The sequence below is a fragment of the Homo sapiens genome, chromosome 4 (genome assembly GCF_000001405.40).
Source record: "Homo sapiens chromosome 4, GRCh38.p14 Primary Assembly".
Classification (NCBI taxonomy): Eukaryota; Metazoa; Chordata; class Mammalia; order Primates; family Hominidae; genus Homo; species Homo sapiens.
In genome coordinates, this window is record NC_000004.12 from 131,763,623 (window position 1) to 131,791,482 (window position 27,860).

The 27,860-nt window shown below is 33.7% G+C and overlaps 1 long non-coding RNA gene and 1 pseudogene across 2 annotated transcripts; both read left to right on the plus strand.

Annotated features, from left to right (window-relative positions):
* Positions 1–1,215: 1,215 nt before the first annotated feature.
* Positions 1,216–27,860, plus strand: SNHG27 (small nucleolar RNA host gene 27). 2 transcript variants are annotated; one of them, NR_125884.1, is made up of 3 exons: positions 1,216–1,445; positions 9,944–10,070; positions 27,588–27,860. It is a non-coding gene; the product is annotated as a small nucleolar RNA host gene 27 (long non-coding RNA). The 2 variants fall into 2 exon arrangements; NR_125883.1 differs by lacking the exon at positions 27,588–27,860 and adding an exon at positions 10,971–11,277.
* LOC124900177 (uncharacterized) lies at positions 4,518–4,627 on the plus strand (annotated as a pseudogene).

The window sequence follows — 27,860 nt, forward strand, 5'->3', positions numbered from 1 at the left end:
GATGATTGGGCAGGTGTGGTGATCCTGGAGCTCTGGGCTTCCATACCTGTGTGGGACAGGGAAGCTCTCTTGGTCTCCATGGCCCAAGTGATGGCTGCGCGCTCGGTCCAGGAAGAGGGGGAGGCAAGCCCACCGTTCCCCACATTGGCCTTCCAGGAAAGGCGGTGTTGCATCCCACCTGCACTTCCTGTCTGATCCTTGAGGGCCAACCGGTCCCTCCGCTCCTGGGGAAAGCGCCTTCTGGCACTGAATCTTTTGGCTGCCACGGATGTCAGGGAGCCAACGGGACTGGGTTTTGGCTGGGTGCAGGGGAGGTTGCGTCAGGGGTACCTAAGCGGTAGCGGCGTGGGGGTGGGGTGTACTTGGTCCAAAGCTCTGGGCTCCTCTGGCGGGCCTCCCTGAATGTGGCCTGGACTCGCGCACAGGCCCTGTCTCGCAGGTTTGCAGGTGCGCTTGGCTTTTCCTCTGCTTTGTGGGGCAGGTCTCCAGTGGCCCCCGGGCGCACGCCTGGACATCACTGTCCGTCTCGTCGTCGCCCCCTACGGCCTCAAAGACACACGCTCTCTGCATGTGCTCTTGGGGGACGTCAGTGCCACGTTTGGTCACACGGGCTCCAGCTCGGACTCGCCTCTGTCTTTGCCGATGTCGCCGGAAGCTGCGTCGGGATGCCGGAGCCCCCGGGCCTTGGAGATGAAGGCAGGCCCCTGCTCCACCCAGGAAGGAGGGAGGCAGTGGGCTCATGGGTCAGTGCCGTTGCAGACGACAGCACGCCTTGCGGCCTTGGGGATCTTTCCGTGCCCCGGCGAGACCCTTTCCGCCTCACTGCATTGTAACCCCATTCCCGATCAGCCGGTGGGAGCCATCATCGGATCCCAAGAGGTGTCCGCGCAGCCCAGCCAGCACCCCGAAGGTCCTCCTTCACCGGGAACAGAAGCAGGAGACCGATCAAGGAGGTCCTGACGACAGGACTCCTATGGGTCCGACCCTGAGTCTCCCGCAGGCCCCTCTGGTAGTCCTCTTCCCACCCTCTGCCTCGGGCTGCGCCGCAGTCCCCGCCGCAACCTCCAGCACCGCCACCCCAGTCCCCGCAGCCGCCATGTCGCCGCCATTTTTTAAAGGGTCTGCAGCCTGACTCTGCGGAGTAAGGGGGCGTGGGGCGGGTGAGTCGGCCTCGCCAGTGAGCATGCGCGAGGCCCGAGCCGCCGCTGTGGTCACAGTGACCGCCACCGTTGCCCGGGGATGGGTCCTTGAGACTTGGCTAAGCAGGCACCCTGTGTGAGCTTGGTCAGAGTCGGGGCTGAGACCAGTCCTGGCCAGGGCAGTTAACAGGAAGGTCTCCGGAGGCCGGGATTCGCGGAGGGTCCATCAGGAGGAAGAAACCTCAGACAGATCTCCGGGGAGACAGCGCGGGATCCCAGCCTCAGGCGTGCGCGGACAGTGTGCGGGTGAGTCTCCCCAAAAGTGGCGCTCTTGGGATGTCGAGGACAGGTCTGCCTGTGTGTCCGTGGGCTGCTCTCTTCACCGGTGGCTTGGTAGTCGCAGAGAGCAGAACCCAGCAGGTTCTGGGGCTGCCTGGGTGTGGGCCTCAGTAAGCTTACAATCATGGCAGAAGGTGACGGGGGAGCCAGCACTTCACATGGCTGGAAGCAGGAAGAAGAGTGAGAAGTGGGGAGGTGCTATACACTTTTAACAACCAGACTCACAATAACTCACTCACTATCGCAAGAACAGCACCAAGGAGATGGTGCTAAACCATTTAAGAGAAACCGCTAGATGATCCAATTGCCTCCCAACACGCCCCACCTCCAACAGTGGGACTTATAGTTTGACTTGAGATTTGGGTGGGGACACAGATCCAAATGATATCAGTGTGTTAAAAGGAAAAGGAGATAACAGTGGGAAATGGATATTTAACTTCAATTTGTGAGTTTTTATTTTAGAGTTCTAAAATTATGTCTTATACTACCTATACAAGTGCTGGAATATTTTCTGTATTAAGTGGTAGATATATAATATCCGAATATCATACTTACCTTCTTTGACCTTGCAGTTTAAGAGGGCATTTTAAGAAAGTAAACAAACACATTGATTTTTTTTTAAAGGAGAAATTTTTCAGTAAACGATATAGGTACGTTAACATGGGCGATATAGGAAAGTTACTGATGGAGAGACAATCCTACATAGAAACCTAAGGAAGCAATTAACTCAGACACAGAGATTGAGAAGAGTAAAATGGAAAATGGGTGAAATCTGGGAAATCTGTTGCTTCCAGTAGAAGAAACATAATATTGAAGGAACAGAGATTGATGTCAAGAGTTCAGGGAAACAAACCAGAATAAGAATGTTTAGACAAAAGGCTGATGGTAGAAGGAAATTGAGACTGAAAGTTATAGAGAGCACAGGCTTACTCGAAGATTAGCAGACAAAAGAACATCTGTAAGTTCAATCATGAAGGAGTGCCAGAATTAAAGAGAAAATAAGGAAATAATAAAGGGAATCTTTTGATGTGAGGAACCAATTGGGCTATGAACTCAGCCTGCTAGCCTGCCATTCCAATGACAGTAGGAAATAAATGTTCTGTAAGTTATTTGAAAATTAGAGGACAAAGTAATTGTTTGTTCTATAGGTAGAGAAACATTTTTGTAAATGATAATACAGCTGTTCTACCAATTTCTCTTAATTTTCAAACTTTTTGAAGGGGTACACTATATTTTCACGATTTGTTCATTCTGATTTCCAACTCATATTTGTTCATCATTTTCTCTTTACTTTTTAAAAAGTTGAAAGACATTCATATCACAAAATTTTCACTGGATAATTTTTCTTGTTGCAACTGTAGATTTTTGTGGATATATACAAATCTCTCTAGTGACACATCTAGAGATTAATGTTATGTTCTATTCCATAGGGAGCAAATATACCACATGAAACATTGCAACTATGAATCTAACTAGACTGTACGGGCAACATATATTGAAAGATAAATTAAAATTGTAAGTTCTATGAGAAAACACAAACATTTGAGTAAAAAAAATGAGAAAGATGTAGTGGTGCCTTCTTCCTACGTTAGAAAAAAGGATCCATAATGAACAACTTTTTTTCCATGTATTTCCTACAATTGAGTAAAATAATGGGACTAGGCAAGTTTACTGGTTTGCATTTTTTCATCTGGGTCTGGTTTTTCATTTCAATTGTCAGCCGTTGTATTAACTACTTTCACCATTCAAAGGAATGAATGATCTGCCATAGTATTTTCTGCAGTTCCATCTCTTGTTTTCAGTATCATTCCAATTCTGCATCTATCTAATTTTGATCTCTGTTCTATTTATTTTCCTGATTCATAACATTTTGCTTTGTGCTGAGCTCCTAATTGTCTCTCTGTCATTCTCAACATTTTAGCCCTATGGTCTAAAAGATGCCCCAAAGAATGTAGCATATTCTAGTATATCAGTGGGACAACATAAACAACATGCTTAATTGTTAATCTATTTAAAGATGAAAGTGTTTTTCATTTTTTTAATCAATTTAATGCTGACTAGATCCTATAACTACATTCTGCTTTTTATAACTAAAGAGCTCCAGAAAAATAAATGTAATAGCTTTGCTGGAAAAGATTAACTTTACAATGCCTTCCTAATGACCTTACTTTTTTTTTTTTTGAAAAGTATTTTCTGGTATACAAAAATAATATTCTGAAATATCTCTGTGATATTTGATTGCCGGATTTAACCTACATACCTCTGAACCTTGGTTTTTCAGACATACAAACTGCTTAACAAGTTCCAATGCATTAATCAATACACCATTGCATAACTTAGAGTAAGAAAAGTTGGTAGATATTTCAGCAATGCCCTAAAATATGCTTCTATTTAACACTTTGAGACAACCAATACACTATTTATAGTGTTGAGACAAAACAAACCTAAGATCACAGAAAAATATTTATTTTAATAAAATGGTATTTAAGTAGATAGTTTTTTGTTGTGGTTTTTTTTTTTTTTTTTTGAGATGGAGTCTCCCTCTGTCGCCCAGTTCAGTGGCCCAGTCTTGGCTCACCGTAACCTCCCCTTCCCGAGTTCAAGCAGTTCTCCCTGCCTCAGCTTCCTGAGTAGCTGAAATTACAGGCATGCACCACCACGCCTGTTTAATTTTTGTGTTTTTAGTAAAGATGGGATGTCATTATGTTGTCCAGGCTGGTCTTGAACTCCTGACCTCAGGTGATCTGCCCACCTTGGCCTCCCAAAGTGTAAGTAGATAGTTTAAATGATTATGGGTTTCATAGGTTTTATTAATTTGTTTTAGTTAACATACAAGAGCACTACAAAACCACATGATTTTATTTTAATTTTTGTCAATAAACTTTATTATATTAAAGGCCATATTGCCCACTGAGTATGATTTTGATATGCACAACTTCTATAATTTACAACTTACTGTATATGGTCTAATATAAATTACATTTAGCTATCTTGAATAAAAGATACTACTCCCCAAAAACTTAATATATAAAATAATTTCTACAATCAATTAAGCCACACAGCTCTTTTTCTCATGGGGCCTGGTGTGCAAGGGCTGCAAACAGCAGCATCCTAGGTAGTGTACAGCAGCCTGTTCCTTGTGTACAACAGCCATTGGACATTTATGTCTCGGATCTAGTGCTTTCCCTAGTCTAGGTTTAAGACCGGATGTAGTATGCCTTTGGAAAGCCTCAGGACCCAGAGGTCAGAGTTCACATTGGCCATGTTCATCCATACCAAGGATGAACTTATTTAGGGCCAAGTTCAAGTTCAGTGAATGCCCAAAAAGCCACATCTCAAAGAAGTGCAATTTTACTAAGTTTAATGCATATACATTTTAAGACTTGGTGGCTGAGAAACAACTCATCCTGGATGGCTGTGGGGCTAGATATAGCCCTGGAATCATGGGCCCCTGGACAAGCAGCTAGCCCTGCATTAGAAAAGAGCTGCCCCCTCTTTACTCAGCCCACCAGTGAATTCTATTTCCTGTACATCTAATAAATCAATCCTATCTATCTATCTATCTATCTAAATAATTCAACAATATGAAGTAGATTAAAAAACACAACTTTATCTTGATGTCTAACTACTGTGGAAATATTTTGTCAGTTATTAACATTCCCCTTTCAGGTTAATATCAAGTCAACAAAAATTTGGAGTTCTCTTGACCCTTTCCCCAATGTGTAAATTAGTAATATAATGTCAATATTCAGACAGGCAAATAAACTAAGCTCCCTTTGATGAAAACGACATGCAGTAACGCTTCCCTACTGAGAATCATCTTAGTTTGTGAAATCATAATCTGGAATGGCTATATCTGCAAAATATATTAAAAGAAAGAAAATATCAAAAACATAATCTACAATACTTTTATGTATATCTAATCATTTTATATTTCTTTTTTATTATACTACTTGAAATACATACATAAAGGATAAAGAGTTTCAACAAATCTCAAAAAGGAAACCTAATTATGTATAATATTCTGACCGATTTTGCTTGCTCACCAAATTGAAATTGAAAAGAAAAAATGCAGCACTCTGTAAAAAAATAAAATGATTTCAAAATATAATTATTGTCTCCCTTTGAAAATATAAATGTTTAAATAATGGTGAAATAGAGAACATAAACATTCACAAATATTACATATCCATTCAACATTTTCAGGTATTATTTTGTTTTGTTCAAACCTCCCCTTCTGTCATTTTTCTCTCCTTTCTTTATCTTTAGCATAACTGAGCTGCTTTCCAAACATCTATAGTTATACCGGACATAGCATTTTCCAACATCAAACATGGTTTTTCTTAAACACCAGCTCCAAATATTAATTCCCAGGGAAAATGACATTTTCCATATATGAGAAATATTGGAACCAATATAACAAAACTGATTAACATTTATAACATTTGAAAATAATTTCACAAAAGTTTTATTTAAAAAAATTATATTGTAAATTTACGTAAGAAATTCTCTATCCATTATATGACTTGTATAATAACATCCACAGTATACTAAGAAAATGTTTTTAAAATATAGGATAAGGTGTCTAAATAATAAATTTTTAAGACCACTTAGTGCCACTATTAAAAATCTGAGAATAAGGCATGAATATTTTTTGATCTATAGAGATTATATATCAGCATGCCAGCATTGGCTTTTATTACAGAATAAGCATTTTAATCTTCATTAACTCTCATCAATTCACTATAGAAAGTAGCTTAAAAAAAAAAAGACCATCACTTGTAGAAAACAGTTAATATTTCGATGGTTTACCTGGAAGTTTACCAGGCATAAATTTATAAAATACATTTATGGATTGAAATAAACTGTTTTACTAAACAATATTACAGAATTCTGAATAGATGCTGATTAAGCAGCAAATCAACAAAACTGTTTATTTACCAGTTTGGTGGCTACCATGCTAATTAGATCATCTGTTTAAAATGTGTCCATATGGACAATTTTTCTGTAAATGTTTTCTTTATGTCCATATTGTGTGGTAGTATTTTCATAGAACCAAGTAGAAATTAACTTAAAAATTAGTTATTTAAAGATGACAATAGAAGATTTTGAACTTTGATTCCCAAAAGGCAAGCAAATATTTCTGAAATAAAATATTTTATATATTTAATTTCTAATTTAATTTACATATAAAATATTTTAAAAATTCATATGAATTTGAGATATTTTCACATTAATTGGACTGTTTTTGTACCTCATTTTGCTTGGTCACACTAAAGTGAGGTTCATCATCTTGTGGAACCAAAGGAAAACTAGTGTGATTATAAGGAAATTATTATAGTTAGACAACTGTGCATTAATTTCATCATTAAGGACCAAATGTATACAGATATAAATACTTTTCTTAATACATTACTTGCAACATATGCACAATTATGTAACAATTATGGTGAACTAAGTCTCCTAGAAATTTCCAAAATAATTTTTTTGCCTTTTTTTAACCTCTAAATCCATATAAATCAAGGGAAAATATTCTTGCACATATGTATATTTAAACATGAACCTAGCCAAAAGTAAGAGAAATTTAAAAAAGTGTAACATATCAAAATGTGGAAATTTCTGTGTTTAGGGAAAAATCTATCCCATTAAGAGCTTGCATTAGAAAAGAAAAATTACCTTGAAATTATGATGAAAGCTTCCAGCTTGTTATTATAAAAATGAGAACAAATTAATTCTGAAGCAATCAGAAGGAAGAAAATAATAAAGGTTAATGAAGAAATAAACAACATTAAATGGAGAAAAATTATATAGCTAAGTAAATTAAACTAAACTTAGATCTTTGAAGGGATCAATAAAATTGTTAAATCTCTGGCCAGACTAAGGAGAAAATAATAGGAAATAAATAATTTACAAATTTTAAGAATGATAGAAGTGGCTGGGGGTGGTGGCTCATGCCTGTAATCCCAGCACTTTGGGAGGCCAAGGCAGGCAGATCGTTTGAGGTCAGGAGTTCCAGACCAGCCTGGCCAACATAGTGAATCTCTGTCTCTACTAAAAATACAAAAATTAGCCGAACGTGATGGCTCATGCCTATATTCCCAGCTACTCGAGAGGCTGAGGCACAAGAATTGCTTGAAGCTGGGAGGTGGAATTTGCAGTGAGTGGAGATCAGGCCACTGCACTCAAGCCCGGGCGACAGAACGGGACTCTGTCTCAAAACAAATAAACAAAAAAAAAAGAATGATAGAAGTAACATTTCCATTGTCCTACAACAGTTTAAGGATAACTAAATGAATACCATGATGAAATTTATAAATGTAAATTAGTTAATTTAGATTAAATGTACAAATCCCTCAAAAGAGACTAACTACTAAGGCAAACTCAAAAAGAAAGCAATAACATGAACATCCCTATATATATGTTTTAAATTTATTAATACCCACCTAGATAAACTAACTGACAAATTTTACTAATATTTAAGGAGATATAATTTATACTTTACACAAAACTTTAAGAAATAAAAAAGAGGAAACACTTTTCAACATGTTTTATTAGTCTACCATTATCCCCATACCAAAACCTTAAAAAAGACATTACAAGAAAATGTCCTGTAGACAAATATGTATTTAGATGAGGAATTTAGATTTCAAAAACTTCAGCAAACTATTATCCAATTAAATCCTCTCATGTCTGTGTGTGTATGTGTGTGCATGCATGTGTGTTTGTAAAATATATCATTACTAATTGGCGTTTATCTTGGGAGTTCAAGATGGTTTCCATATTCAATCAACCCATCAATGTGGACTATGGTCATTTGAAAAGACCAGCAAATCCTCTACACAAAAGGCCACTATAAATTCATTAAAACAGCCTTCCATCACTCTCGAAATTGACCAAAGCATTCAACTACCTGAAAAATATTTATGTTTGGAAAGCTATTGAAATGCAGTTAAAAATATCAGGAAACCTGTTTTTACGTTTTGTCCTGATCTTGCTAAATCCTTCTTAATTTTGTGAGACACTGCTTCTCCTTCCACTGTTCCTTTACTTTCTCCTTCCCCTTTGTTTTTGCCTCCCCCTTCCTCTCCCTTTTCTACATTCCTTCTCTCTCCTAAATGCTGTATAAATTTCTACATATATAATCATATTATTTACAAATAGGAACAGTTTTACTTATTTCTTTCCAATCTGCATTTATTTTATTCTCCCTTTTTTTCCTTACACACTGGATAGAACTCTAAGTATTATGTTGAAAAAGAGTGATAAAAGCAAACATTTTTGCTTTATTCCTGAGCATACATGTGGAAAACATTCAGTGTTTCACAGCTAAATATGATGGATTTTTTTGTATGCTCTTTATCAAGATGAAGGAATTTTCTGCTATTTCTGGTTTGCTGAATTTTTATCACAAGTAACTGTTGAATATTGTCTTTTTCCCCTGCATTTATTGAAATGATCATGTGTTTTCCTATTTTAGAATATTAATATGGTGAACTATATTATTAGATTTTTTTAAATATTGAAACTGTCTTGCATTTCTGGAATAAACACGGCTTGGTCATGTGTGTCACTTTTTTACATAGTGTCGTATTCAAGTTATTGAGGATTTTGCATCTAGGGTATACTTGTAGATTTGCAGATTTGCATCTAGGTTATGTTGGTCTAAAGTTTTGTTTGTTTTTTTTCCTTTTCTTTTTTTATCATCTTTGTCTTATTCTGTTTAAGTGTCATGCTTGCTTCATAAAATGAATTGAGAAACATTTCTTCCTCTTCTGTTTCTCGAAAATTGTAGAGAACTCTTGTTTTTTGTTGTTGTTTGTTTGTTGTTTTGTTTTTTTCTTATTTTTATCCTCATACTGAGAACCAAATAGTCTGGAGTGTAAAATATGGTTCCTCATTCCAGTTAAGTCTAGTACACAATGACAACAACCATCTTGGGTTAAGCATTGGCCTACAAACAGAAAAAAACCTTCAGGGAGATAGATGCTGATCTAGGCATTGTGAGAAAAGCTGAATTCATTTTTAATCATGAATGGCTTTTAAGGAAAGAAGATTTATTAACTAAAATAAATAGATTAGAGGGAATTCTCATCTATGAGAGAGGAAGGGATGGGATTCAACCTGGAAAAAATGATGAAGTTTTAGTGAACTGGGTAAGGTAGACTCAACAATTAATGATGGATAATGCTAGGACCCAGCACCGGTAATGAGCTTGTATTATGACTCAATAGCATCACTTTATCACTTTAACGCAGATGGAGGCCTAAATAACCATAGGGCAATGGTTCTTCTTAGATGCAGAAGGACACATTTATATAATCTTAGGGACCCCATCTCTGAGGTCACTCATAATTTATATTAATTCATTATTATTGCCATTGCCCCAAGAATAGATAAGGATAAGACATCCTGTAGCACAGGTAGCAGAGATATAAACTATTCTTATTCTTGTGTCTTGTCTATAGGAAGGGAGTGTATCCTGGTGTATGACAGCATATAGTAGAGACCAGTGTCAATTAGGGCCTGTGAACTGAGACAGGGTGACTGGCTAAGTCCACAACCCATTAGAAACCCAGAAATAATCAAATCATGGTGAGTAGTAATAATACTTATTTATAGTACTGTACGGTATAAAGACAAGAACCAATTATGTTGAGTAGCTGTAACAAATAGCTCTATCGTTCTTAATAACTTTTTCTGTAATAAAACTGAATTGTAACATGACCATACTGCAATATGACATTACACTGGTATTGTTGGTAAGATTCAACTATCTTATGTAGAGAAGTTATATAATGCTTATATTGATAATCAAATGTATTAAGATATTGAGTTAAAGCCTCTTCAGAATGTAATCTGGGTGAATAATAAATGGCCTGAGAAAACAGAATTTAGCTAACCATTATCTAATTTCAATGCTAAATAGTTCTGCACAGATTTATCAAAAGGTAAAAATAAAAGCAAATTGAGAGGAGGAATGAGTAATTTGGTTTGTACAAAATATTAAAGTGTATGTAATGGCCTTGTAGGATGCATTAGTAATTTTTAAAAATCAATCTTTACCCTACACTGTGTCCATAAAATGCTAGGCATATTCATGTTAATATTACTGTTGTTACTGTCATATAAATGCTGTACTCAATGTAGATGCTCAGAAAAATATGCTTGTTTTGCTACAGGAGAGATTAGTCCAGGGACAATAAATATGGATTAGGGAAGAATGTGTTAACTCAGCAGGCCAGGGTTTCTTCAACCCTGCACATTCAAAGGTAAGGTTTGTTTTTAGGACTAGCTAGCTTCTGAGTTCTGGAAACAGTCTTACCGTGAAGAGTGTTTTTGTATATCTGAGGCCTTGGGTTTATGGTGAATGACTGACTTTATATGCCTGAGGCCCTGAGTCATGCTGTATTTATCTGAACCATGTGGTATCAATTTAACCAGATACGTTTATTCTAAGATATGATTTATGCTGAAAGCCTGCTTTTGTTCTAGAGGGATCATGGAAAGGAAGCTGAATTTGCTGAGTTTTGCCACGTGGGCATTGCATGCCTATGTGATTAACCACCAATAAAAACCTGGGACATCAAAAAATAAATAAGCTGCTTTAATTGCCAAGAATTCACATGTGGTTGTATGCAGCATTACTGGGAGATTGAAGTGTATCTGCATGTGATTCTACTGTGATGGACACTTGTAAATTTGTGCCTGGAGTCTCCTGGAATTTGCCCTGAGAATCTTTTTCCTTTGTTGATAAGAATCTGCATCCTTTTGTTTTAATAAACGATAAACATGAGTATAATTGCTTCTCTGAGTTCTGAGAGTTTTTTAAATAAATAATCAAAGCTGAAAAGCAATGGAGACCCCCACCAAAACATCTTTACACATTTCAATTTTGTATTGAAGTAAATTTTATTTTCTTTTTTATACCTCCCGTATATATTCTATTTTTCTCATTATTATTTATTTATCCCAAATCTTTTATCTGTGATCATTTTCCTTTGTTTGAAATTTGTCTTTTGAGATTTCTTTAGAAGGTGCTTTTGGATGATAAATTTTCTGTTATTCTTTGTCTAAAATGTCATTATTTTGACTCATTTATAAAAGGAGTTTTTGTGTTTTATAAACCTCTAATGTATAGAAGTGTGTCTAAACTCATTGAGGATATTTTCCAAATTTTTTCCTGCTTTTTATTGCTGTTGATAAGAAATCAGTGTTGGTATTTTGACATTTAAGTTATGTGTCATTTTGTTGTGGTAGTTCTGAAGATCTTCCCTCTGTTTTATATTCTCCTTCACCTTTCATAAATGTACTTTATATTTATTTGGTAATAAATTTTGAACATATACTATGCTATAAAGATAATCTAGGCCCTTTGGTTACATCTCGTAAATAAAATCAACAAAATCTGTTTTGAGATTATATTGTAATATAAGATACCCAAAGTAAATAGGATATGTACCATATGTTTGAAGGTGGTAAATACGATGAGAAAAATAGATCAGGTCAGGAAGAATGAAGATGATTGAAGGTACAGGTTATGATAAAAACTTAGGTGTGCCGAGGAATGAATTCATCTTATGTATCTTGAGTGTAATGTCTTATTTCTCCTGAATCTGAGAATTTGATGTCTTTCATTAGGTATGTCAGTGAATTTCACTAATGAATATCTTAGATTCCAGTTTAATATATGATAGTCATTTTCATTCTGTCTTTCATATCACTTAATCCTTTCTCTTTATTGTTCATTTTTATACATCTCTTAATAGTCACAGTGAATTTAACTATGTTTTACATTATGTGGTTATTATCACTTTAGCTATCTCTAATATATTATGAATGTGTCAGTTGTGTGTTTACTATTGTTTGAATTAAACTTTTAAATCATTCATTTTAATTCTTACTTAATTCAAACTTGTTTGTTATACATTCTTATAATTCCAGTATCTGGAGTCTTTCTTCATGTGATTCTTTTATCTCCCTGTTTTCCTCCTATATTCTTTTCATGCACCATCTTTCTCTGTGTGTTTTGTTTTGTTTTACTGTCAATTCCTAACTAATGGAAGTATATTTATGCAAATAATTTTAGGATAGAATTGAAATAGGGTTCCCAAAAGGATTATATAAATTTGTTTGTACCAAGGACCCAGGGTTATAAACAGAATGAGATAACTTTAAATTTCTGTCTTGAGGATTTTCAAGTTACACAGGTCATATTAGTGAGAACCCCAGAAAAGGGCATTCTTTTTTTTTTTATATTTCACTTTACGTCCTGGAATACATGTGCAGAACATACAGATTTGTTACATAGGTATACATGTGCCATGGTTGTTTGCTGCACCTATCAACCCGTCATCTAGGTTTTAAGCCCCACATGCAGGTATTTGTCTTAATGCTCTCCCTCCCCTTGCCCTCCACCCCCAACAGGCCCTGGTGTGTAATGTTCCTCTCCCTGTGTCCATGTGCAGAACCTGCAGTTTTGTTACATAGGTATACATGTGCCATGGTGGTTTGCTTCACCCTTCAACTCGTCACCTACATTAGGTATTTCTCCTAATGTTATCCTTCCCCTAGGCCCCCACCCCCTACAGCCCCTCCGTGATGATCCCCTCCCTGTGACCATGTGTTCTCATTGTTCAACTCCCACTTATGAAAACATGTGGTGTTTGGTTTTCTGTTCCTGTGTTAGTCTGCCGAGAATGATGGCTTCCAGCTTCATCCATGTCCCTGCAAAGGACACAAACCCATCCTTTTTTATGGCTGCATAGTACTCCATGGTGTGTATGTGCCACATTTTCTTTATCCAGTCTATCATTGATGGACATTTGGGTTGGTTCCAAGTCTTTGCTATTGTAAATAGTGCTGCAATAAACATACGTGTGCCTGTGTCTTTATAGTAGAATAATTTATAATCCTTTGAGTATATACCCAGTAATAAGATTGCTAGCTCAAATGGTATTTCTAGTTCTAGATCCTTGAGGAATCACCATACTGTCTTCCACAATGGTTGAACTAATTTACACTCCCACCAATAGTGTAAGAGTGTTCTCTTACTACACTTCCAATTTGGCTGGACTTTGAGCTTTGTCTGTGGTCCCCCGCTTTTTACAATCCCAAGAAACATGGCCTCATCCTTATCAGGACCAGAGAATGCTCTCAAGGTAAAATCTTAATTTTCGTAAAATTGTTGTCTTCTTGACTGATCGTTGTGACACTAAAGCAAGATTTTTTTAATGTTTCATCCAACTTTTAAGAATTATTTTAGTGGTAGGACTGAGCCAGGTTTCTAATCCACACTACTGCAGATAAAAAAATGACAAAAGGTAACTTTCAAAAATAGAGGCCAGGCGTGGTGGCTCATGCCTGTAATCCCAGCACTTTGGGAGGCCAAGGCGGGCAGATCACGCCTTGATAGTCTCAGGAAATTGAGACTACCCTGGCTAACACGGTGAAACCCCGCCTCTACTAAAAATACAAAAAAAATTAGCCAGGCGTGGTGTCGGGTGCCTGTAGTCCCAGCTACTCAGGAGGCTGAGGCAGGAGAATGGTGTGAACCCACGAGGTGGAGCTTGCGGTGAGCCGAGATCACGCCACAGGACTCCAGCCTGGGCAACAGAGAGAGACTCCATCTCAAAAAAAAAAAAAAAAAAAGAAATCCATCTTTTTTCATGAAAGATTTATTATACATTCTAAATAAAATGGAGATAGAAAGTTAGCATTTGAACTTTAAAGTTATTAGCATAAGGAGCAATGAAAACTAAATTTCTCCTGGGAGTTACTCATTTTTCTGGGTTATAAATGAATGCCATATTATTTTTTGATGTTTAATGTAAAATATTATTGACTGTAATAATCCAATATGATCTAGGATATTCAGTCTTACACAACATAGGGATGCAGTATAGGTTGACGTACATCCAAAATTATAACACACTTTGTTCAAACACAATGCATATTACATTTTCCTGTAGCTCAAATCTGTGTTATCTGTATTATTAAGAGATATAAAGAGAGGATTCAAAATAATACTGAAGAATTCTCACTAATTTTATGAATCTAGTAGATCAAAATGTTACTCCAACATTAATATTGATTTCATAATACAGACGGTGAGGCTTATGTAAATCTGTTTCAAAAAATGTATAGCATTCTTTAGCTCTTATGTTGTAAGACATTCAGAATATAATCCAAAATAAAGTTGTAATAAATTATCGCATTTTAATGAGTATTTTAACATAAAATGTGAGTTTGGGATTATTATAAATCCAAAGACACATAAACTCAGTTTCTAAAAGATATGATTGAGGGGAAATCATGATTTATTATATCTTCATTTTATCAAGAAAAGACACAGTTATTATTTATAATAAAAATGATTACAATGCACACATACTCTTTTGTGAGTTGCCACAGAATTTTCTATTACCAAAACCTGTCAAGTTCAATACATGTCTAGAATATGTATAAATAAAGGTTGATCTGTGATATTAGATATTATCAAATAAAAAATATTCTTATTGAAAAAAATGTGATTCCTTATGACAACTTCAGGGCATCTTCTATTTGCCCCCTGTTATCAACAGGGGAAATTTTCTTTCCAACATTTCTCACTAATCATTTCTGACAAGTAGTTGGCAAGCTTAACTATAAAGGGTCGTCCATAGGGCTCTAGGTCAACCTTACCCTTTGGGAAGAAAGTGCACATGATGTCTATGAATAAATGCCCTCCAACAGAGGAAAAGGACAATGCTTTACATAGTGTGTGCATAATCATTTTTCAACATAATTAGCTTATCTATTTGTGACATGATTTTACTGTCATTGCAGGTGTTTGACATGACCCACATTTTTTCCCTGTGCCAAGAAATACAATGGTTTTGTATTACATTAATACTTCAGATCATCTATAATATGAGTGAGGTTTGGTTAAAAAATATATAAAAATAAAAATCTCAGTTCTATTCGAAATACTAATGAAAGTATCTTACCAAAGTAAGACATTAGCAATGCATTGTCTGTCACTTGATATTTTGTGTGTTTGTTCATTTCAACAAGGGAAAGAGAATTAGAAAATTGGAAGAAAACTATTTAAGTAATTCTTGTAAAATTAATATACATATTAAATATCATGAAGGGTAGAAACAGAGTTAACATTTAAAATGTTTATAACTAATGTGTAAATTTAATTGAAAGCCAACTGATTGCTCTGAATTTTTATGAGGAATAATGGCAATTGTACAGAAAATAACTGACACCGAAAGTATCTACCTTTTCACATTTAAATGCAAGTGACTTTTTGTTCATTCATTCTAAAATTATGAATTATTATACTTTAGCTTGAATGTTTGTCTCCCCTCTAAAAGCTATTTTGAAACTTAATCCTCAATGCAATAGTATTAAGAAGTCAGGCTTTTAGGAGTAATTAGGTCATGAGGACTCTGTACTCATAGATGGGATTAGTGCATTACAAAAGGGCTGAAGGGAACTAGCTAATGTAAGGCCACAGCATTCAAGTTACCATTTTAGAAGCAGAAACTGGGACCTCACTTGGTGCCAAACCTGCCAGAACCATGGTCTTGAACTTTTCAGCCTCCTGGACTGTGAGAAACAAGTTTCTGTTCTTATCAGTCTCAGCTATTTTGTTACAGAAGCACAAGTGAACTGAGACCTGAGATGGGAGTGTTTATGTGCTAGGTATGGAGCTAATTTCTGAATAAATAAAGATAAATACATTCTATGACCTCATCGTCTAGTGCCTGTTACAGTGACACAGTTAATATTTTTTCTTGCCTTCCTATTACTCATTTTTGCTCTCCTCACTAAATATTGAGGAAAACATGAATGCATCATCAGTTTTTCCACTGATACAACTGTTTAAGAAGTACATATGACATTATATTTTTTCTTTCTGTATTCTGTAGACTTACCTGTAAAGTCTAAGGCTAACATTGACTTTATGCTAATTAGTACTGTGTTCATTTCGGATGTTTAATATGCCTTGTACAAATTTAAATAGATAAAACATTAAAGATGCTACTACTCAAAACACACAGGGAATAAAATATTCTATTTGACACATCAACATAGAGTTTACACTGAGGGAAATTTTTATTCATTAGTTTAAATGGGGCAAAATACAATAAATATTATTTGGTTATAATAGAGAAAGTTAAGTGGAAAGATGAAATGATAAAGAGCCCAGAGAAAATTGTTCAGTTTGCATATAAATTGGGAAATTAACCCCTAACCTGCCTAGGTAGAATTTCATAGCCTTAACTAAAATAATTATTTAAACTTACAAGATTTATTAGAAAAATATGAATAGAAAAATAAATGCATTGTTGCATTTTATGTAATTTTACTTGAACTTAGTTTATAACATGTACATAGATTAAGTTGATTTAAATATTTTATGTACAAAAACTATATTGTTGAAGATTCTAAGAGCTTAAAACTAAAATACAAGATAAACATTTACTTTATAAAAAGAGTAAATAAGATGAAGAATTTGAAAGAATTTAAGAATTAATTTCAGTCTCTTTTCCAAAATGTATGTGGTTAGCCTGCAATGCTTTTACAATCTGTTATTTTATGAGTATGAATATTGATTTTATTACCTAAACATGTATTATTTTTAAAATATGGCAAAAGAATTAAAGTTCTATAGTTTGACAAAGCCGTAAAGCAGATCAATCCTTTGACAGCTTAATGAATAAAGCATGCATGTAGTTGACACTAATTCATTTAATAAACATTTGTAGAACATATATGTGTAAGAAATTGTGCTAAGGAGATGAATGGTACATTAAAATAAGAAGACAAGTTTCCAGATACTAAGGAGTTTATGTAACTGTAAGATACATAAAACCACACAAATGAAAAGGCTAAAATAAATCAGAAAATGAAGGGAAGAAAACAAATATCCATATTAAGTATATATAATATCTCAAATATTCTTTAAGATGTCTTAAACAGATTTTAATATTTAATCCTAATGACAGGATAACCTGATTTATTACAGATGATATAATTAAGGCTAATACAAATCTGCTGACTTTAAATTTTCAAAGTCTTCCTGAATTATTTGACTGTATAATATTTTGGTAAACATAAATAAGTGGATACTAATGCATTGAAACAGAAACAGAGTACTGTTCAAGAAACAGAAAAAAATGAAACAATAGAAAAGATCGAATTTGTAGTATTACTACAATTTAAGATTTAATAAAGACAAAAATGGAAACCAATATGTAGTTAGGAGGACAGAAAAAAGTACAGTGGAACCTCCATATCCATAGGTTCTGCATGTGTGGATTCAACCACCCATGGATCAAAAATATTTGGAAAAACATTTATGACAATATGAACACATATGGAATTTTGCCTTGTCATTATCCCCTAAAGAACACAGTATAACTATCTACATTGCATTTACATCGTACTTGGTATCATAAGAAATCTAGAGATGATTTAAAGTATGTGACAGTGTGGATGTAGGTGTATAAAATACTATTATACATCATTTTATAGAAGGGTCTTGAGCATCTGTAGATTTTTGTGTCTGAGGGTTCCTAGAACCAGTACCCCACAAATACAGAGGAACAACTATAATGAGTTCCTAGTAAACTAGGCTGAAGTATTATAACTGTACACAAAAGAATTTAAGGCAGAATGATTAAATAATATATAGCAGTATGTATAAGAAGTGAAGATAATTGAAAATTAAATTGATAGGAAAGACATGAAAAATATAATGAAATTAATGGAAAAATTAAAACTTTAGCAAGATGTACAAGCAAGGACTGGGTAGATTTCACCTGAAAGATATAATTTGTAATGACAAAGTACTTTGATAGTCTAGCCTAATATTTTATTGTATCTTAAAACTTCCCTCTGGCTCATTCTGGTCTGATCACACCAGCTTTCTTATGGCTTCTTTTATCTGCCAAGAATTATGCTCTGGTCTAATTGACCTCCCCAAATTTGTATATTAAAATTCTCACCACCAAGGTGATAATATTAAAAAATGGGCCATTTGATAGGTGACTGGATCATGGAAGTGGAGCCCTTATGAAAGGTGCCACAGGGAGACCCCTCCCTCTTCCACCATGTGAGGTTAGACTGAGAAATACATCTCTGTGGTTTATAAGCTGCTCAGTCTATGGCATTTTGTTATAGCAGCCCATGCTAATGAATACAGATGACTGTGTGTCTGCAGACCTTCCCAGGAAATTATTGAGTCCTTCATTGAATACTAAACTGTGAATACATGAGAGAAAATAACTGAAGCCTGGGGTAAAATGCCAACACAAAGGGTCTGAAGAACAATTCTCAAAGCTCAGAAAGCTCTGCAAATATTATTGTTGCCACAAACCACAGTAGAAGACAGGGTAATATATGAGCTATTAGGGAGAATCTTTGGAAGAATCCTGCTTTTGTGATGGAACTCACTCATTCCTAAACCTAAAGCAACTCTATATCTTCTCTAAGAAAATTTTATAGCAATCTCTAAAAGCATCAAACTGATTCCAAATAATTTAACTATGTTTGAGAACAAAATACAAATATACAAAAGGAATTCAACAAAATCCATCACAACACAATATAGAATTCACAATATCTGGTTTCGATGAACATAATAATTAGTGTTGAAACATGTTAATTCAGGTGTTAAAAATATGCTTTATTTTTTCAAATAAGATGGGAAAATATGTATATTATGAGAAAATAAAAATGGAAGAAATAAAAACAAACAAGCAGACTCCTAAAACAGAAAAAATAAGTATACTAGATTAAAAATGTATGAATAAATTTAACAGCACTTTAACCATTGTAGAAAAAATACCAGTGATTTTGATAACATAACAATATAAGCTATCCAAAACAGAAAACATAGACACATTTGAAAATACAACCACACTGTGTTGGACAATATCAAGCAGCATAATACAAGAAGAGATGGAGTCCCAGAAGAAGACTGAGTGGATGTACGTGTGTATGTGGCAGGGAAGAACAAAACCAAAAATTCGAAGAAATGATTGCCAAAATGTTATTAGAATCACAAATAAAGACAAAACGGCAAGGTAAACTATTGTCTAATTTCTGAAAGTCAGTGATAAAGAGAAAAATCTTAAAAGGCATCAGAGATGAAAAAATAATCCACATCAAAAGAAACACACACACACACAAATACGGGCAATTTTCTTCAGAAACTATGAAAGCTTGGAGACAATGGAGCAATCATAAATAACTAAATAAGAAAAAACAGCTTAATCTACATTTTTATAACAAGTAGAAAATTTTAAGCACTAAAGTAAAATAGGGCTCGTTTATTTTTAGAAAATTAAAAATAGGTTTGGAACTAGGGTAAAGTAAATGACACAACTAGGTCCCAAAACCTAAAGAGCTACTCACTTTCAGGGTTATATATTTGAGATTGAGAGTGCAAGACTTGGGCCTTGTGTGACCCGAGAGAGTGCCTCATTAAGTTTTTCACCAGAGGTAATTTGCTCATCTCAACGTTGTCTCAGCACTGAACAAAATCTGAAGAATTTCATTGTTAGCCATCCTCCATTGTCATTTATAAGAAAGATTCCTAAGGCAGAAGTAAAATTTTATGAGATGTATATGTGTGTCTGCAGAAAAAAACTGGCAATGTATTATACTGCATATCAAGTGATGTACTATTATTTGAAAGTAGGCTGTGATGAGCTAAGTATTTATATTTTAAAACTTAAAGTAGAAGTATTTATATTTTAAACCTTAAAACAGAAGTATTTATATTTTAAACCTTAAAGCAGAAGTATTTATATTTTAAACCTTAAAGCAGAACCTAAAAAAGAAGTACATTAGTAAACCAATAGTAGAAATAACAAAAATAATGAAGTACATATTTAATCTACAAAATGTAAAAAAAGGATAAATAATTGAGCAAGGAGCATATAAGATAAATAGAAAACATAGCAGGAAGGTATATTTAAACCTAAGCTTATTCATAATCACATTACATTACATGTAAATCATTCATACACATCAATGAAAAATCAGAAATCTAATTCTGTCTACTAAAATTCTACTATAAATGTAAATACATAGATATCTGTGTGTGTAGTATGAAAAAATATTTATAGAAAACTAGAGTTACTATATTAATGTCAAACTAAATGTATTTCAGAACAAAATATATTACCAGTGATCGAAAATATACTCACTGATTATGAAGGGGTCAATTTATTAAGATAACAATATTAACACAAAGAAACTATACATGTTAAGGTGATGAATATCAGAATCCTGATCTGATAATTGTACATCGTATGCTTGTATGCTTATGTACCCCATACATATGTGCAAGTATTATGTATCCATAATAATTAAAAATTTTTTAGAAATAAAAAATTAGATAAATGTAATAGTGCCATGTGTTTACGTTAGAAAAGAAAAAAGAATCTAATCAGTTCCTAAAGCAAATTAAACCCAAACAAAACAGAATGCTGTTGTCTGAATGTTTGTGTCTCCTAGAATTTCCTATGTAGAAATCCTAACTCCCAAATTTATGGTATTAGGAGATGGGGTCTTTTGGGAGGTGCTTAGATCCTGAAAGTAGAGATCTGGGGCTCTTTTATAAGGGTACTAAATTAATACTACTTTAAGGATAGTAAATGAGTAGTTTTCTTACAAAAGAGACCCCAGAGAGCTACCTTGCACTTTCCATTACGTGAGGATGCAGAGAGAAGGAAACATCTATGGACCAGGAAATGGGCCCTCACCAGACATCAAATCTTTGAGTGCCTTGATTTCTGACCTCTCAGCCTCCAGAACTGTGAGAAGTAAATTTATAAGTTATAAGTTTATATTATTATAAATTATAAAATTTTGTTGTTTATAAGCCACAACAAAAAGGTATTTTTCTATTGCAGACGAAATGTACTAAGGTACAAAGAAATAATAAAATACATATAAGAACAAAAATCAATAAAAATTGAAAGAACACCAAAATGGAATATCAATAAAATAAAAAGCTAATTTATTAAAAAATGAAAAAATTCTAGCTATACTCAACAAAAAAGAGAAAAAATACTAAACACTAAAGCCAGTAATGAAAGAAAGACTGTCACTAATTATACTATAGGTTATAAAATGATAGTAAGCACACAGTGTTTAAACTTTATGCAAATACATTTTAAAAGTTTGGTAAACAGACACATTACTTGAGAGAAAAGAGTTTACAAAATTCACTTAAAAATAAAGAGACACCATGAATAATCCTGCAACTATTAAATACATTAAATCTATAATTTGAAACTCACACACAAAATAATTCCAGGTCAGGAAGGTTTCACTCTTGTATTCTCACAATCTTTAAAGAATAAATAGTAACAATTCTATGCAAATAAATAAAATCAAAATAAAACAGAAATAAAAGAGGAAGCAACCCTAACAGCATATTATATGAGGTACATATTACCCTTAAAGGAAAAAAATAGGTAGAGATTAACAGAAAACTACAGACCTACATTTTGATTTTAAAAATTTGTATAGGATTATTTTATTAAAAGTAGAAAAGCATTTGATGACATTTTACATGTATTCATAATAAAGATTTACAGAAAAGTAGGCAAGAGAAACAAATTATTTCAAAAGTAATAAACATATCTAAAAATATAGTTAATATAGTGAAATACCAAATGGTTCCTCCTACTATAAGAAAGAATGCAGAAATATCCACTATGAACCATTCTGTTTGATACTTAGAAAACTGCAATACAGTGCTGAGAGACATTAAGGCAGACCTAAATAAATGGAGAGATAAACCAAGTTCAACAATTTGAATGCTTTATAGTGTTAAGAAGGTAGTTCTACTAAATTTATTTCTAGATTAATTGCAATATCAGTCAAAATCTCAGTAGGCTTTTTATATAAATAACAAATATTTTTTCAAAATTACTATGTAATGTTATAAAATATTATAAATTAATATTGAAAATATTTTACATGAAAGTTCAAATTTCTGGAGCCTTTTAAGATAAGAGGATGGCAGTATTTCTATGGTATAAACACTAAGTATATAAAAACTGAAGACTTCTATTAATATCAGACAAAATGGGCCACAAATCAAGAAATATTTTTAGCAGGATAAAGATCAATGTAATTGGTCCAATTCATCAAGAGAACCTGATAATGCAAAATGTTTTTTCACACATTAACAAACAATTCTGCATTTAAAATACTCAAGCCAAAAACTTACAGAATTGAAAGGAAAAATATACAAATCCACAATATATTTAAAGATTTGAAAACTATTTTCTGATATTATTAAACAAGTAAATAAAAAATTTTAAAGAAAATATCTACAAATTTAATGACATTATAACCTAACAAGTTCTAGGATGCATAGAATATTATACTCATCACCAGCAAAAACTCATTTTATTTTCCAAGTGCACTGACATTCATCACATGTTAGGCAACAAATAATAAAGTTTCAACAAATTTAACAGGATTAGATCATGGAGAGTATGTTCTCTGACCCAACGGAATTAAATTTAAAATAAAAAACAAAACCAAAGCTACAATGGAATCCCCAAATATTTAGATATAATAAACTTCTAATGATGCCTTGTAGCAAATAGTAAATCAAAAGATAAATTAGAAAGTATTTTGGTCTGGATAAAAATAAAAACACTACAACTTCAGGATTCCTTTGGAGAAATACGAAGTTTTTAATGTATGTATTAGAAAAAGGAGAAATGTCTAAAATTAATGACACAAATGTCTACCTGAAAAAGTGAAAAGAAAACCAAATTAAACAAGAAGAAGTAGAAAGTAAATATAGAGAAAAACTAAAATTTTATAAAGACATAACAGAAATACAAAAGGAAAAGATGAAATTTAAAACTGATTCTTTGATAAAAGGAATAAAACGAATTAAATTCTAGATAGTCTGAGAAAGATACAAAGACAGAAATCTGTCAGCTACCACTTTCAGGAAATAAAGTGGGCAAGGTTGGGAAGATGGTGGGTGTTGTAAAGATACTACAAATATCAAAATGATAATGACTTAAATTACAAAAACTTTATGCCAATAAATTTGATAATGGTTGAATAAATTCTATGGTTAGCAAAATAATCTTTACAATTACTCAAGAATAAATAAAATTTCTTCATATCTTTAGATTTATTAAAGATACTGAATTTTAATTTAATACCTTCTTAGGGGAAACAAATTCCAGACTCAGGTGCCTTCACTGTTAAATTTTATTCTTTTTAAATAGGTAAATGTTACAGTGATTATTACTCAAGTGTATATACTGAGAATTTTTACATTAATTTGTTACATAGATTAATTTTTTTCTTCAAAATACAACTAATTTACTGATTATACTTTTTGGGTCTTCTGTTAACATTATTAGCAAAATTTAGAAAATTTATTCATTTATATACAAAATTAATAGATACATTAAATACTTACTCTGTGCCACCCAATGCCCAATTCACTGAGAGCATTTTACTGAATAAACAAAAAATTTTGACCCTTGATTACCTTATTGTTGCAGGTAACAAACCATAGAAGATAGACAATAGTCAATGTAAAAATCAATAAGTTGTTTTGACAATGGACAATAAGCAAAAATACCTGTTCACTTGTTGTATTAGTCTGTTCTCACACTGCTATAAAGAGCTGCTAGATGCTCCTTAATATATAAATGAAAGAGGCTTAATTGACTCAAAATTCTACAGGTCTGGGGAGGCCTCAGAAAACTTACAATCATGCCAGAAGGGGAAGCAAACCATGTCCTTCTGCACATTGTGGCAGGAAGGAAAACTGCAGAGTGCAGGGGGTAAAAGCTTTTTATAAAACCACCAAATCTCATGAGAACTCACTCACTATCACGAGAACAACATGGGAGAACCACCCCATGATCTAATCACCTCCCAGAGTTGCCTCCCCCAAAACATGGGGATTATAAATCTGATTATAATTTAAGATGAGATTTTGTGTGGGAACAGAGCCAAATCATATCACTAGAATAGATAATATATACAATACATAAGTAAATTTTATAGTATGCTAGCAGATGGTTAATTCTACTGACAAATACAGAAAGGTAAAGGATGAAAGGGATCACTTGCTTAAGAAAGGGATACACATTTATATGTGTTGATTTTAAGGAATCAACAAGGAATGATTAGCAAGACTTGAAGAGAAAGGAGAAGCCATGTGAGCCTCTGGGGTGGTGTTACAGGCAAAGGTAAAAGCCAGGACAAAGCAGACACTTCCTATATTCCTGTATTCATCCATTTTTATGCTACTGATAAAGACATACCCCAGCCTGGGAAATTTATGAAAGAAAGAGGTTTAATGGACTTATGGTTCCACATGGCTGGGGAAACCTCACAATCATGGCAGATGGCCAGGAAGAGCAAGTCACATCTTACATGGATGGCGGCAGGCAAAGAGAGAGCTTGTTCAGAAAAACTCCCTCTTATTTAACCATAAGATCTTGTGGGACTTACTCACTATCATGAGAATGGGATGGCATGCCACCATGATTCAATTATCTCCCACCTGGTCCCTCCCACAACACATGGGAATTCAAGATGAGATGTGGGTGGGGACAAAGCCATACCATATCACCATCTCTGTGCAAATGCTCTCTCTCTTCTATTTAGCTCTGCAATTGTAGCTAAATTTTCCTTTCTAAGCCCCAATCTCCAATTTCTCAATATACAGGGAGAGTTATACTTTCTTTGGATTATCCTTTCACTGTGTCTTCTGGAAACTGAGAGAAAGCTTGGGATAAGTCAGATTTTATTTTTTCTTTTATCAAGGATCAGCATCCTCAGCTTCTTGTCAATGGTTAAAAAATCACTGTTGATTATATTTTGTCTGCACTTAGTTTTTATTTGTATGTGTGTGTTTTTGTTTTTTGTTTGTTTGTTTTGTAAAGAATTTAGTTTAGTTCCTCTTACTGTATCATGGCGAAGTACAGCTATCTTCAACCTATTTTTTCTGACCAATCTTTGTCTTTATATTGATTTAACATTACTTTTTAAATTTAGTCTTAAAATTCTTACTTTAAATAGTAGTTTTAGACTACTTATATTTAATATTGTTATCTATATTTTGGCCTTAAATCTACTATCATAAAATTTATTTTCCATAAAATTTAATCTGTTCTTTATTACTATTTTCCACTTTTGATGCTTTGTCTTGGATTAAGTGTTTAATTTTGAATTTTATTTTATTTCAACTAATAGATTATTAGTCATATGTTTTTGCTTATTTTGTCCTGTTGGGTGCTCTAAGGTTTATACTATGTACCTTAACTTTCCAATAACTTTAAGGTGACTGAATATTTTTGCCCTGATACCTAGAAAAAGACAAGCATGCTTGGTCTGATAAATTATTTTGAAGCTTATACTACACGTCTTAGCAATGCAATGAGAGAAGTAAGAATACATACAGTTTAGAAAGAAAGATGTCTTTCTTCACAGATATTATTCTGTGCAGAAAATAAAAAAGATATTTGCAAAAAAGTTAGTAAAATTGTGTGTTTATCTAGATCACAGGATATAATATACAGAAATCCAGTATATTTTGATAGATTTGCAATGACCATTCATAATCTGAGATAAAAAAAACAAGGAAAATAAGGGAGTGCTCAAATGCTAAGAAAGACATGTTAAAAGAGCTGAGAAACTTGAATAGTTCCTACTAGCAAAATTAGCAAAACTGAATCAATAAAATAAGTAAAGGAACAGATCATGGCCCACTGAAAGAAAGAGGAATCCATGGGTCCACGTGAGATAAATCCATGAATTAACGAATGAATAAAAGAAGGAAACACTATTATTTTCCCACAGAGTGCCAACCAATAAAAGGAAAAGGGTTGACATTGTATGTTAAAAAATTATCATTTGAAAATCTTCACATTGTATTTGATTGAGTCTTGAGGCATCAATGGATGCTAAACCTAGTGGGTAAATGTTGGAGAAGAAATGGGATATTTTCACAGTCTCAAAGTATCTCTCCACAAAACACTTAATTTTAGATTAATTACATGTATATATACATGTATACAATAGATAGTCTATATATACAAAATATGATTTTTTGTCATGTTATATCAATATAAAGCAAATGAGGAGTACCTTTGCAATAGAGAAACCTGGAAGACATTACCTTTCAAATGATCAAAATTAAAATCACCACTGATGGGAAAAATTAATTTCATATATAACCTGAAGAAATATGATAAGAAGAGCATAGCATCATGTTGGTGATTTTATTGCCAATAATGTATGTCTTGACATCTCATTATGAGAAAACACCAGACAAATCGAAATTGGGAGACATTCTAAAAATAGAATCCATTGGAATATTACCTTCAAAAAATGTTTAGGATGCTATGAAGGTTAAAGAAGGACTATGGAATGCTTCTGATTTAAAGAAGTTAAAGAGACATAGAAACCAGGAACAACACATTATCCTGAAGTGGATTGTTTTTTACAAAAAGCATCAGGGCAGTTTGTGAACTAGAATGGGTCCTCTCTTGGTGCTTGTTACATGACAGCTGTTTGCATCACTTTAGCAACTTAAAGATAAACTGCTTAAAGATAAATTGGCGTCATTTCATACAAACATTAAAGAAAATGGTAATGTCTAACAGGCACAGAGTGCCAGCCTAATTACTGTTCCAGGGGTCCTCAGGGAGCTGTTTTCCTACTATCTTCTTGATTTTTAAAATATATTTTAGTTGATTAGTTTTATTCATGCCATAATTGGTGGAAATTAATCCTTGATTCTATAAATTGTTACCTAGTCAGTTTCCAATGTTTTTTCTTGTTTGTTTCTCTTTCCTTATTTATTTATTTATGCTTTTCTTTTACTTTTTTTGTAAAGTGGAATAAGTTAGGAATGAGTATATTATGACCAACTAAACTGAGTAGTTTTATGACAAGTTCCAAATTACATTAAGTATCAAATATTTGACTTTTCTTAGATTTCAAAATAGTCACTTTTCAGAAAAAATCATTAGTAGTTTTCTAAAAATAAAATCCTCTTGATTCAACAAAACATACTTCATGTTGTTTTTCCTCCCAAAACAGGCTCCTCCTTGAGTTATTGGGAATAAGTAATGCTTCTCAATAAAGCTTCGTGTCAACAAATCTGAACATATAACATCTCAGCTAGAGCAAGTTACTAAAAATAGGCTCAATTTGTACCTTGCAGTCATGCCTTCATAACCACTTTTCAATTAATCCTGCTTAATTCAGAGAATGTATAAATATGTAATTTTGCATCACTTTTAAGGCAGCCATTTTATTTTGAAATGCAACTAACATTATATGCATAAATTCAATAAATATAAAGCTGTTTTC